The 13,459-nt window shown below is 38.5% G+C and overlaps 1 annotated feature.

The window, feature by feature from the left end:
- Nucleotides 955-2,154: an enhancer, noted in NCBI's record as "BRD4-independent group 4 enhancer chr12:92172101-92173300 (GRCh37/hg19 assembly coordinates)". NCBI's record gives its function as "activates an origin of replication core promoter dependent on BRD2, P300/CBP, MED14 and CDK7 cofactors, and independent of BRD4, by STARR-seq in HCT116 cells {active_cell/tissue: HCT116}" and the evidence as "EXISTENCE:reporter gene assay evidence [ECO:0000049][PMID:35650434]".

Below are 13,459 nucleotides of genomic sequence, written 5' to 3'. Positions count from 1 at the left end.
GCCGGTTGTTTAAGATCAGTCAAAAACTCATTAAAAAAAAAAAAAACCCAAAACTTATGTGTTGTTTTTTTACTGTGAAGACTGCAACAACCAGAGCCAACACTCAGTTTAATGTTGTACATTTCCCTACCTCAGCCCAGAGTTTTAATAAATGGTTAAAATAAGCATTGAGGTATTACAAAAGTAATATATTGTATTTAATAAAATCAAACAAAATAGAAGAAAAAACTAAAAATCTCTCCTCATCTCCTTTTCAAGTCTCAGATTTTAAAATCTTACTTCTTGATATATATGCTTCCAGAGTTTTGATAAGTATATGTAAATAAACACCTGCAAGCAATCACTAACCCATATTTTTATTTACATATTATAAATACATATTGATCTCTTGTAGACTTCAAGTATCATAAAAATAAAAAAGGTCAGTATTTGTTTACTTTTATTCCTAGTAGCAAACACAGTGCCTGACATTGTTGATGCTTAATTGATTATCTGATGAACAAATTACTCTTAAGTTAATACATCTTAGACAGTTTCCCAAGTGAGCTTTATTATTTTTAATCTTACTAGAGTTTTCCATAATATAAACATGCCATAATATTTTAAAATATCTTGTTCACCAGGATAAATATTTGTGTAGGATTAATCCCTGGAAACAGGATATTTAGCTCAAAGTCATGAATGTTTTAAATGCTGATAGACACTAGTGAAATGGTTATTCACCTATTTGGAGAATCACAGAACCATTGGACAAAGATGAAAATTAATGTCCCCTCTCCTAGTAAATTACACCAGTGTCCTACATGATTTCAGAGTGTAATAATATAGGCATGATTCCTAGGTAAAGAATCCCTGCTTTAGAGTGTCAACCTCAGTAATCTGAGGTTCACTTCACTATAAATGGTCTCAGCTTCTAATTGCAACACGGTTTGCCAGCTTTCCTTCAGAAAACAGATGTTCTCTGAGAGGAAAATTATGAGATATTGAGATATTACATCTAATTTGCCTCATGAAAATGTTAAGCTCAGTTTACCCATTTTCAAAGGCAAATGCTTCTGTGTCAGTATAGCCGTAAAAACTCTCACTCTGCCACATCGAAATCCCACATTAAGCAATGATTTTCTTATTTTCTGCTTTAGAGTTTCTCTAACTGCTCTAGTCACAGTGATGTTACCAAAATTTTTAAGAAAAAGGAGAATGCGACGTGTTTGTTTCAATTTTTATTGCAGCAGGTTGAATTAAGTAAGAACTTCCGTTTTGCCCAGCCCAAATGTGAGAGCTGCACTGAGTCATGAAAGAGAGCTCTAAGTGAAGACAGTGACTAATAGTTAGGAGAATGCTTGGTCAGCAGAAAGGCAGACCTTGATCTTCCAGTGACCAATGGCAAACTCATATCAGCACATCAGCAGGGCAATGGGTCAAAGCCATTACTGTTTTATCATTCTTGAGTCAAAACAAGAAACTGTGACGTGCCTGGTCATCAGAGCTAGTCACTTTCTTCCACATACACACCCAGATACTCCGTTTCTTTAAGTTTATTTTTCTTAAAGGAACAAAGAAAAATTAATTTAATTAGTCCCCCTGCCCATTTTCAGAGAAAACAAAGCCTCTTCTAAAGAGATGAAACTTTCAGCTGCTTTCAGGAGGAAGCATGCTTTTATTTAAGGGACTGTAACTGATTTATAAGAGAATAAAGCACTCTTCGTTTACTCAGCTAGAAATTATATAGGCCTTTCCTCATTTCACTTCCAAAAGAGGAACATTTGGATATTGCAGAGAACCGACTTTGACATCTTTAGAGAGTGGAATCACTTGGCTGGGCTCATTTCCTGGATCCTGTGTTTTCATAGCACAGTTTCAAAGACAGTGTAAAGCCAACACACACTTAAAATTCTTGGTTTCTATCAAAACAAATCTGCCATTTCCTGCTTTACTTTTTCAGTGAGGTTCATTACAGTGCTAAATTTGAACCTCATTAAAAAATAACATCTACACCTGTCCTTAGATTATTCCTAAAAAGTAACATTCTCCTATTTTATAGTAAATGCTACTGTATGCAAACTTGAAATCTATACTTAATATCATTGAGTAAAAATGTGACCAGACTTAGGTTTTAAACTATGAAACATATGTGTATAAGTTCTTCCCCTTTTGCCCTTTGAGAAATCAAATTGAAATTCAACTGAGGAGGAAATAGGCTAATGCAAATAAGAAATTGTCATCTGGGCTTTTGCTACTCAAAAGGTGTTTTTTGAAACAATAACATCAGCATTAAGTGGGAACTGATTATAAATGCAGTATGTAGGGCTGCACCCCAGTTCTCCCTATTCACAAAGTACATTTTAAAATATTCCCGTGTGATTTGCATATACATTATTCCCCCTGTCCTTAGAAGGTATGTTTCAAGACCTCCAGCGGATGCCTGAAACCTTGAATAGTACCAAATTCTATATATACTACTTTTTTCCTACCTATCTACGATAAAATTGAATTTATAAATTAGGCACAGTGAGAGATCAACAGCATTAACTAGTAATAAAATTGATCTATTGTAATAAAAGTAAAATAAGAGTTACTTGAACATAAGCACTGAGATACTTCAACAGTCAATCTGATCACCAAGACAGTGACTAGTGACTAATAGGCATGTGGTGAGTACAAGATGGATACCTGGACAAGGGATGATTCATGTCCTGAGCAAGTTGGAGTGGGGACGTTGGGAGATTTTATCAGCTCCTTAGAATGGCACGCAATTTAAAACATACGACTTGTTTACTCCTGGATTTTCCATTTAATATTTTTGGACCGTGATTAATTACAGGTAACTGAAGTCTTGGAAAGTAAAATCAAGGCTACTGGATAAGGGGAACTACTGGACATTACTTTGAGAAACCCTGGTGTAGGTCATCGCTGTGAAGCTATGCAGAGACCCTAAATGTTTCATTCTTTAAAATACACCATTGTGTGATGAAGGCCAAATATTATAGGTATTTACAGTCCTCAAGGTTATAGAACTCGGCTGGGCATGGTGACTCACACCTGTAATCCCAGCACTTTGGGAGGCAGAGGTGGGAGGATTGTTTGAACCCAGGAGTTCAAGACCAATCTGGGCAACATGATGAAACCCTATCTCTACAAAAAATACAAAAATTAGCTGGGCATGGTGGCTCCCACAAGCAGTCCCAGCTACTAGAGGGCTGAGGTGGGAGGATCACCTGAGCCCAGGAGTTTGGGACCAGCCTACACAGCAGAGTGAGACCCCTCCATCTCTACAAAAAAAAAAAAAAAAAATTAGCCAGGCATGGCAGCACATGACTGTAGTCCCAGCTACTTGGGAGGCTGAGATGGGAGGATTGCTTGAGCCCAGGAGTTTGAGGCTGCAGTGAGCCAAGATCACGCCACTGCACTCCACCCTGGGGAAAAGAGTAAGACCCTGTCTCAAAAAAAAAAAAAAAAAAGGCTGCAGAACTTCAAGTTTATTCCCTGAGCAGGACATGTATGAAAGACTGTGTTCTTGAGGAAATTTAATTGAAAAAAGATAGTCAAACACACAACCAAGTTCTTCATAGCTATTTGAAGACCTGTGTGCAGAAAACATCACTGCTGAACGACCAAAGGAAAACAGAGCATGATTCAACTAAAACAAGCAGTTTTAGGTAAAAACAAAATCAAGAGCTCAAAACAATGAAAAAGATAGGCTTGCTTTGTTTTAGTTTACTGTATTTAAACTGCTAATTTATCATTAATTAAAATGTCTTCAATAATTTTTATGAATTCAGCCCAAAAATACTATTTTGTGCTGTTTTTTTTCAAAATAGAATCTTTGCAAAACAATACTAAAACTTTATTTCTATATTCAATAAATATTACTCAATACTAGGCACTGTTTTAGGTATTTGAAATACATCAGTGAATAAAAATCTGTATTCTTGTGGAACTTACATGTTTGTGAGGAGAACACAGAAAATAAATACCAAAAGGAAAAGTAAATTGCATATTAGACTGGAAGCGATAAGAGCCAGAGAGCAGGGTTGGTTGCAATTTTAAGATCAGTTTGGAGGGAAATTTGAAGGAAACTAGAAAAGCAGGAAAAGGCAGGGAAGGCTTGATTCTTTTGGCCAGAGGATAATGGATGTCAGTCTCTTCTATGTATTTATTGTTTTTTGACATTAAGGAAGAGCAAGCAGGGGAGGGTAATGCCCTTCTTCTAACTTGTAATGTGGTTGATGATCCACTGCTTTAGCAATAGTGGGGAACCTTGCTCTATGATTAGTGTTTCTAGTGACCCAAGCATTCAGCTACATGTGAACTCAGATTTTATTTTTCTGTGGCATCTGAATCCACATTAAGTACATTCTTATTTTAAATGTATAATAATAACCTCTAGAAACTAAATTCATTACAATAACTTTATTATGTGCTTATTATGTATAAAACTTTATTATTTTTTTCTAATCCTAGAAGGAGGTATTATCATCGTTACTTTAGGGATAAGAAAAGAGAGGATCTGAGATTATAAGAGCCAAGCTCCAAGGTTAGGAAGCTGTTTTTGTGGTTCGGGCAAGAACTGAACTTGCCTCTCTCTGAAGTCAAAGTCACAATCTTTTTACTAAGCCAACACCAGAATTTGTGCTCAATGCATTCTGTTAGACACCTGCAATCTCTAATTTTATTTAAAAATGTTTATAGGGCGGAATCAACTAATTTCTTACTAGCAGACTTTATACACACCAACAAGCATAAAAAAGATGCCACCTGGACAGGTCAATAGTCATTTCATGGCAGCTCGATGCTGATACCAAAATAAAACTTCAAGATCCTAATATAGTCTATACACTATAACTTTTTATTAATCATTTTATCCACAACCTTTATCAAGTTCTACACATATGGTTCTTTTATTTTCTTTTCTTTTTTTTTGAGATGGAGTCTCTCTCTGTCACCAGGCTGGATTGCAGTGGTACGATCTTGGCTCACCGCAACCTTCACCTCCCGGGTTCAAGCGATTGTCCTGCCTCAGCCTTCCAAGTAGCTGGGATTACAGGTGTGCACCACCACACCCGGCTAATTTTTTTGTATTTTTAGTAGAGACGGGATTTCACCATGTTGGCCAGGATGGTCTCAATCTCTTGACTTCATGATCTGCCCGCCTTGGCCTCCCAAAGTGCTGGGATTACAGGCATGAGCCACCGTGCCCGACCAGTTGTTTTCATTTATTGAATTGTTCTCGTGAGTTAGAGATTGCACTATACATTCCACATGTATAATATTTTGTCTTAATAACACTATTTTAGAGAAAACTGAAGTCTATAAATGTTAAATGGAAACTTTACCTTAAGTGTCATAATGAATGTTGAGTCCTAGCCCCTAGTTCAGAACCATAGAAATTTCTGTGTAGGGAATTACTTAAAGAACTCAATTCACAGCAGTTAAGGAGTAGTCCATCAGCATATGGTAAATCTAAGAGGAGCAAGCAGTGGTGGATATCTTAGACTATGAGGGTCAAGAAGCCAGTACAAAATTAAAGCTTTGCTTCTAGAAAAATGATCCAGGAACTAACCACATTGCATCTCAGTACCCATCTGCCATTTCCGGGTGCCAAGCCCCCAGCAAGACACAAGACACCTGGACTATGTAGGTGGCATATCGGTATAAATCTATCCTTGCTAGGTGGTGGAAGGCAAAACTACTCTCATAGGGTCTTAAATGATTCTTTCTGTCCCTGGTCATTACAAGCAGCTGGCACTCTGAGTCCAAAAAAGGAGCCAAAAACGCAACAGCACAGTAAATTGTTGATAACAGAGACCTTGAGTCATCAAGAATGCATTTAAAGAAACAGAGCAGCACGTAGTACATGATAGAAAGCTTTTCATGTAAAACTGTTAAAGCGAAAGTCTCTGCTTTTTATCTGGCAAGTTTTACAAACCCTACCGGAGAATGCACTTTATGCAGAATTCTCATTTCCTGACAACCCTGGATAGATCAGGCATAGCTGTGATAATGTTCATCTCTGTGTATTATAATGAAGCTGCCATGGTAACTCCAGAAGTCACTTTAAAAAATGTGCAATTTTAAAAGTTCATTTCTTGGAAAAAGATTAGCACAGCTATAACACTCATAATAATCTAATGAGACCTGAAAAGAACACTCAGGCAAAAAAATATATACAGAGAGAGAGAGACTCCTCAGAATTCACAATTGCATAAACCTCCTGAGAATGACGTGGTCCACCCGTGACTTCCCTAATCAATGAAACCAGGGGGATGTTAGGTCAGAGATTTAATTAAATTTTGATGTGTGTAACTCAGCAGTAGAACCCATTCAGTGCCTATTTAGCTCAGGATGCTCGAGAAGTAAATCACAGAAGCACTTGCGTAGAAAATTTTATGTACTTTCCATTTTCATAATTTAAAGAACTAGGTATAATAAATGTTTCCAGCATTTGTTACTTAGGATGGGTTGACTGTACCTTTTATGACTGGTCACAGAAATTCAGGCTGGGAAGGAAACAAATGTGGCAACTGGGAATTGAGTACATTTCTAAAGTTAAACTCTCTCTCCTCAGCCCACTCCCACCTTCCCACCCTAGCCTTTTTGAAAGGAAAAAGGCATAAATCAGTGCTCAAGGTCTGTGTACCTTGTTTTGGAAAATATTTTTTTTCCAAAGGGAGATTATAACTTCTAAAAATGTAATTGTTTTTGGAGACTGAATCATATGCAATGATGAAGGCATAGTGCATGCTCAGAAGCCCCTGTTATCTCTGGGACCTCACAAGCCCTAGAAGCAAGTATTCCTGGAGGCACATTGTGACACACTCTTGATGTGGCATGTTTAATTAGAATGTCTTTTCTAGAGCCTTCCTTGCGGGCTTACAATTTAGGATCAGGGCCCTGGCTACAAATTCAAATAAGTCACATTTAATAAACCCTTATTAGCAGAAAGCTTTTGTGGCCATATGCTAATAAAGGAATCTTAATCTCCATGTTGAATTCGACATTACTCAGTAAATTGTAAAGTTTAAGTAGATGTTGACCTTACAATTGCCTTTTAAAGAAACTAAGCTACATGGTGCAGGATGCCTTCCTTCCTCAGGCTTCCTTCCCAAGATACACAACAGTGATTTGATTATTGATTTTACTTATTTAATTAAAGAATATGCCAATGAAACTGTGATGTGGTTTGGATTTGTGTCCCCGCCCAAATCCCATGTTAAATTGTAATCTTCAATATTGGAGGCAAGGCCTGGTGGAAGGTGATTGGATCATGGGGACAGATTTCCCCCTTGCTGTTCTCATGATCATGTGTGAGTTATTACAAGATCTTGTTGTTTAAAGGTGTGTAGTACCTCCCCCTTAACTCTCTTGCTCCTGTTCCAGCCATGTAAGATGTGCCTGCTTCCCCTTCACCTTCCTCCATGATTGTAAATTCCCTGAGGCCTCCCCAGCCATGCTTTCCATACAGCCTGCCGAACTGTGAGCCAATTTAATCTCTTTTCTTTATAAATGACCCATTCTCAGGTATTTCTTTATAACAATGCGAGAACAAAATAATACAAACTGGCTGAGGCCTTCTCCTCACCTCTTCCATCCAGTGTCCCCAATTCCTGCCACAGTCAGATGTATTGGTTGTTTGACATTGGACAATTCTCTTATTTTTCTCAAAAAAAAATACGACAAAAAAAATTTAAGTCATCTGTTCTGACTTCATGTCCAATCAGCCTTGCCATGAAACATTATTTTGGCCCTCTCAACAATTTCTAGACATGCTGGTGGCAGTGAAGTCAGATAAAGGTGGACAAGTTTCCTTGAAAATGATTCTATGACACACAGTGGAAAAGACATAGAATAGCAATTAGGTTAGTCAGCCTGTTGAGTAGGCTTTCAGACATATTAGGTTATCAAGGTACTAAGAAACGCAAGCTTGGCCTTCTGCCTTGAGAACAATATTAGGGCTCTTTCTTCCTCTACACATCTTTAACTTGAGTCTTCTGTAAGCATCACACCTGCTTTTTTGGGGTTCTTCATGACTGCCATAATGTTGACAGAGACATCCTATTTAGCAGTTGAGAGCAAGAACCGGGGAAACAAGTCACTGTGCTCCATTTTATCCGGAAACTCATAACGGTAGGAAAAACTTCACTTCATGCTTATACAATTAATGGTAACTGCCTTGTTCTAGATGGTGATTTGAACATTGAGTCCCAGGGGTGAAAAAGAATTTCTACTTTGAGAGAACTCAAAGTCTGGCAGGGGAATCTACATGGAAGTAAAACAAATCACTGTTTTCAGTGGGAAGAATGGACTCTTTTTACCCCTTTGTAACACAGGTATCCATCCCCAAGCACCTGACTTACCCATTCTACTCAAAGGTTTTCCAAATTCTACCTCTCATTTATCTTCAGGCAAACCACTGCCCTCTACAATTTTATCAAAGGATCTTACAACTGACTTAATCCTCTGAAAAAAATAGACATGCAAAATAATAGATTTCCTCAATTGTGATTCTCTCAATCTCAAAAATTGTGTCTTAGACTAACTTTACTCAGCTCCTTTCTTTTGATGCTATCACTTTTCCTTTCCAAGGCTTATTTCCCCTTCCTTTCCTTCCTTTCCTTCCTTTCTGCAACCTTTGCCTCCTGGGTTCAGGTGATTCTCCAGCCTCAGCCTCCCACGTAGCTGGAATCACAGGCTTGCGCCACTATGCCCAGCTAATATTTGCATTTTTAGTAGAGACAGGGTTTCACCAGTTTGGCCAGGTTGGTCTTGAACTCCTGACCTCAAGGACTCGACCTCCCAAAGTGTTGGGATTACAGGCGTGAGCCACTATGCTCAGCCACCCTTATCTTTCATTTCCTCTCTCATGCTTAGGCTCTGATTCCTCATGATCCAGCCTGATCCACACAGCCAGCCTCTTGCATACTCCATGCCTCTCTGAACTCTGCCACTCAGCCTAGGATGTTCTTTCACATTGGTCCTGGATAAACACCATGACCCACTTACCAAAACCCACCTTATGTCTTTTCTTTCTTGTATTTTCGTTTTCCCTATCTCTGCTGACTCTACATCTTTAGCTTTCAAAAAGATGTCATCCTTAAGAAAAAAGTGAAAAAAAAAATCAATAACTTTTCTTTAATGTTACTCATCAAATCACTATAATTCTCTATTCTCTCCATTTCTTTGAAAGACGTGCATGCAATAGTGCCATAAAAATATATGTGTATTATTTGGATCTTTTATTACAAATAAATATAGAAAATTTGGCAAAATGTTTCAGAGTTATAAAAAGAGAAATGATCACCATTTATAACCCTACCACCTAGAGAAAAATGCTAGAATGACGGAGGCTTAAGTGAGCAGTGTCTGGAATTAGACTCTGATTTCAAATTCTGGCACCATCACATACCAGTTGTGTGACTTTGGACAAGTAACCTCACCTCACTGTGCCTTTGTTTCCCTTTGTGCAAAATGTATGATAGCAGGGAATTGCTGTGAAAATTTAACAGGTTAGTGGAAGTGCATGTAAAGCAGTTATGGTAACAGGCACTTGTAATTAAAACTATAGGTTACTAATTTTTTATTGTTGACATCTTTAGTTATAGTCTTTGCCCATATATATAAATTGTTTTTTTATTTGCAATCTTGCCGTATCAATTATTTTAACAACTTGTTTTCTCACTTAACAGTATTTTGTGTCTCCACTTCTTAAATCTTTACTTAAACTCCATCCACCTGCAACATGGCATGGGCACTAAGCTATAATTCAGCCACTTTGTCCAAGGCAAATCATCTCTAATAACATGCAATGAGATTGTCCCACTTCACATCTTTCCTGAAGTATTTAATTACCAACCTTCCCTTACTGAAACTCCTTTCTTAACTTTACCGACACTGTTCTTTCATTGTTCCTTTCTACGTGTCTTAGTCTCCCATAAGACATATGCTCTTTGCCGTCGAACTGCTAAATATTGTCAATTCTTAGAACACCAAATGCATATTTCCTTTTTTGTGCTCTGCTTCTTCCCTTGCATACACCACATGTCCTTCAAGTGTAAGATTTTCAATACTAACCTTATTTTCTTCCAAAAAAGTCTCTACATTATTCATCCAATCACAGTTAATAGCATTACCACCCACCCAACTACCTAAGTCATTTTTAAGCTTTTTCTTTTTCCTTGAGAACAGCCTCACTCAAAGCACTTTACTTCGTGCACAACTGAACACATCTACACTCTCTACACATCTGAATCCATCTCTCAAATCCATTCTTACTCGTGTCGTTTCTATGTTCATCAGTGCTACTGAAATACAACTGGTTTCTCCAGCTAGAAACACGGATTGTCCTCAATTCCTAATTTCATTTCTTCCTCCACTTCGGCCGATTTTGTTTTACTGTGACCTCCTGCCTACCTCTGCCCTGTTTTACCTCAGATCTTATCTCCTGTTTGTGTTATTGCTATGGCCTCCTGTAGTGGATTGAATAATGTCTCATACAAATGCAAATCCACCCAGAACCTTAGAATTTGACCATATTTGGAAATAGGTCCTTTGTGGATGTTCTTAAGGTAAGGCTTGAGATGAGGTCATACTGGATTAGGGTGGGCCTTAAATCTGGTGAGAGAGTCCTATAAGAAAGACAAAAGGACACACAGACACACACACAGGGAAGCAGGCCATGTGAAGATGGAGACAGAGATTGGAGTGATGCAGCCACAAGCCTAGCAATGCCAGGGGCCACTAGAAGCTGGAAAACGCAAGGAAGATGCTCCCCTAAAGCCTTCAGGGGGAGTATGGCTGTGTTGACACTTTGATTAAACTTTTCTTGTTTTAAATAACCAATTTTATGATGATTTTTTATGGCAGCTCTAGGAAACTCAGACACCTCCCAACTAGTTTCCCCTTCAACACATCTTCTGTGCTTCCACCAGAACTCTCAGACTATACCATGTCTCTGATTAAGGTCTTTCAATCAAACACAAGCAAGGTTCTTCCCACCTGGCCTCTCTTCTTTTCTTTGTTCTCTTCCACATTATTTCCTGCATCATTGACTCCTGAATACAATTTTTGTTCCACATCTAAGTCCTTTCTGACTTTTGCCTCTCTAGTTGGAATGGCCTTATCAGTCTTGTCTTCCTTGTGCAATTAGTCATCTATCATGATCCAGCCCAGGAGTCACCTCATCTGTGTGGTCCTTCTTGACTCTTTTCTGTCATGTTCATGTCTTGAATTTTCTTCTACTATTGTATTTATTAAACATCGTAATTTCTTGTTAATATCTTCTTATTCATTTTTATAGTCCAATATTTTTTGGCACAGGGTCACACACATAATAGGTGTTAAATCCATGTTTGTTGAATGACAGAATCCCTTTTTTCTTACATATTACATATAATTAAATGTTTGTTCATTTTTTAAGAGATGCGGTCTTGCTCTTTTGTCCAGGCTGAAGTGCAGTAGTGCAATCAGTGCAGCTCTCTGTAACCTGAAACTCCTGGGAAGCGATCCTCCAGCCTCAGCCTCCTGAGTAGCTGGCACTACAGACACACACCACCACTATGCCTGGCTAATGCTTTTTAATTTTTTTAGAGACAGGATCTGGGTACATTGTCCAGGCTGGGCTTAAATTCACAGCCTCAAGCAATCCTCTCACCTTGGCCTCCCAAAGCATTGAGATTACAGGAATGAGCCACTGTACCCAACTTATGCCAATTTTAATTTAAAAAGTTACCTTTGAGTTTTTCCACTCAGTCCTACTGTCTTGGTTCTAGTCATCACCTCCCTTGAATAGTGTTCTTGCTTGCATCTCCCTGTCTATCTTGTTTCTCCTTCTGCCATTAATAGGACTTTCTGAAACTCATAAAAAATTATATCATTCTTGCAGCTGAAAACTTCAGTGATTACCCATTGGCTTTAGAACAAAGTCCAAACTTTATAATGTGACTTATAAAGTTGTTCCAATCTTTCTTGCTCCATCAAGAATGTGGTGCTCCAATTTCACTAGATTTCCCACAAATCCTTAAAGCCCTGTCCAAGCTTGTGTCTTCATATCTTTGTTCCTCAGCTTTCTTCTTCTGCTGGAGTCCTGTTCCTTCTCTCTCTCTTTTTTTTTTTTTTTTTTTTGGAGATGGAGCCTTGCTCGCCTAGCCTGGAGTGCAGTGACGTGATCTCAGCTCACTGCAACCTCCACCTCCCGGGCTCAAGCAATTCTGCCTCAGCCTCCCAGGCAGCCAGGACTACAGGCACATGCCACCACACCTGGCTAAATTTTGTATTTTAGTAGAGACAGAGTTTCACAATGTTGGCCAGGCTGGTCTTGAACTCCTGACCGCCCGTCTCGGCCTCCCAAAGTGCTGGGATTACAGGTGTGAGCCACCACACTTGGCCCCTCTTCCTTCTTAATGTGCCAAAGCATCCCCTTTTCTTGAAGATCCCTCTCAGGCCTGCACTAGAAATAAGGAAGTACATTACTCCTTATCTTCCTGAAGAACTCTGTCCCAGCTATGTTTACATCATGTTACGTTGAAGCATGTAACTATGCTACTTACAATCAGCTATGCTACCATGTGCTGACTTAGCATATCAGAGCTGAGTTGAGTGTAAATATGACTATTTCTCCCTCCCTGATATGTCCCTATCTAGACTGTGAGAGCCTTAAAACTTGGGATCCATTTTGTAGTCTGGATATCCAGCATACTCTCTTGAAAGGAGTATATAATTAGAAGTGTCCTTTCAGAGGTGGCTCTTTTTTCCCTGTTAAGGAGTTTGTGAATTTATTTTTAGGCATAGCATCAAATATGTGTTTTTAAAAATTTCTTTATTTGTTATCCACCCATCTGCACACTGATTTTCTATTTTTTAAAAAAATTTACTTACATAGCATAATACATGCAAATAATACATGTAAACCCTTGTGATGGCTACTTTTATGCATCAACTTGCCTGGGCCATAGTACCCAGATATTTGGTCAAACATTATTCTAGACATCTCTGTGAAGGTACTTTTTGATGAGATTAACATTTAAATCAGTAGACTTTGCATAAAACAGATGGCCCTTTATAACATGGGTGGGCCTCATCCAATCAGTTGAAGGCCTTAACAGAGAAAAAGACTGACCTCCCTGGAGGAAGAGCGAATTCTGCTAGCACCCTGATGTTGAATTCAAACTGAAGCTCTTCCCTAGATCTCCAGCCTGCTCTGCTGCCCTGAAGATTTTGTTCTGGCAGACTCCACAGTTGCTGAGCCAATTCCTTGAAATAAATCTTTCTCCATACACATGCACTTTATTCTGTTTCTCTAGAGAACACTGACTACTACAACAGTCGACAAATATCTCTTCTCATCTGAAACATTTCATTGATTCTCTCTCTACACACACATTTCTAAAACACAACAACACAAAACAAGTTATAAATAAAATTTATGAGCTTGAATTTGGAAATGTTTGCTTGCAAAGGTGTGTTT

The sequence above is a fragment of the Homo sapiens genome, chromosome 12 (assembly GCF_000001405.40).
Source record: "Homo sapiens chromosome 12, GRCh38.p14 Primary Assembly".
Taxonomy (NCBI): domain Eukaryota; kingdom Metazoa; phylum Chordata; class Mammalia; order Primates; family Hominidae; genus Homo; species Homo sapiens.
Note: the sequence above shows the minus strand (reverse complement) of the source record. Positions and strands in the feature narration are given on the sequence as shown.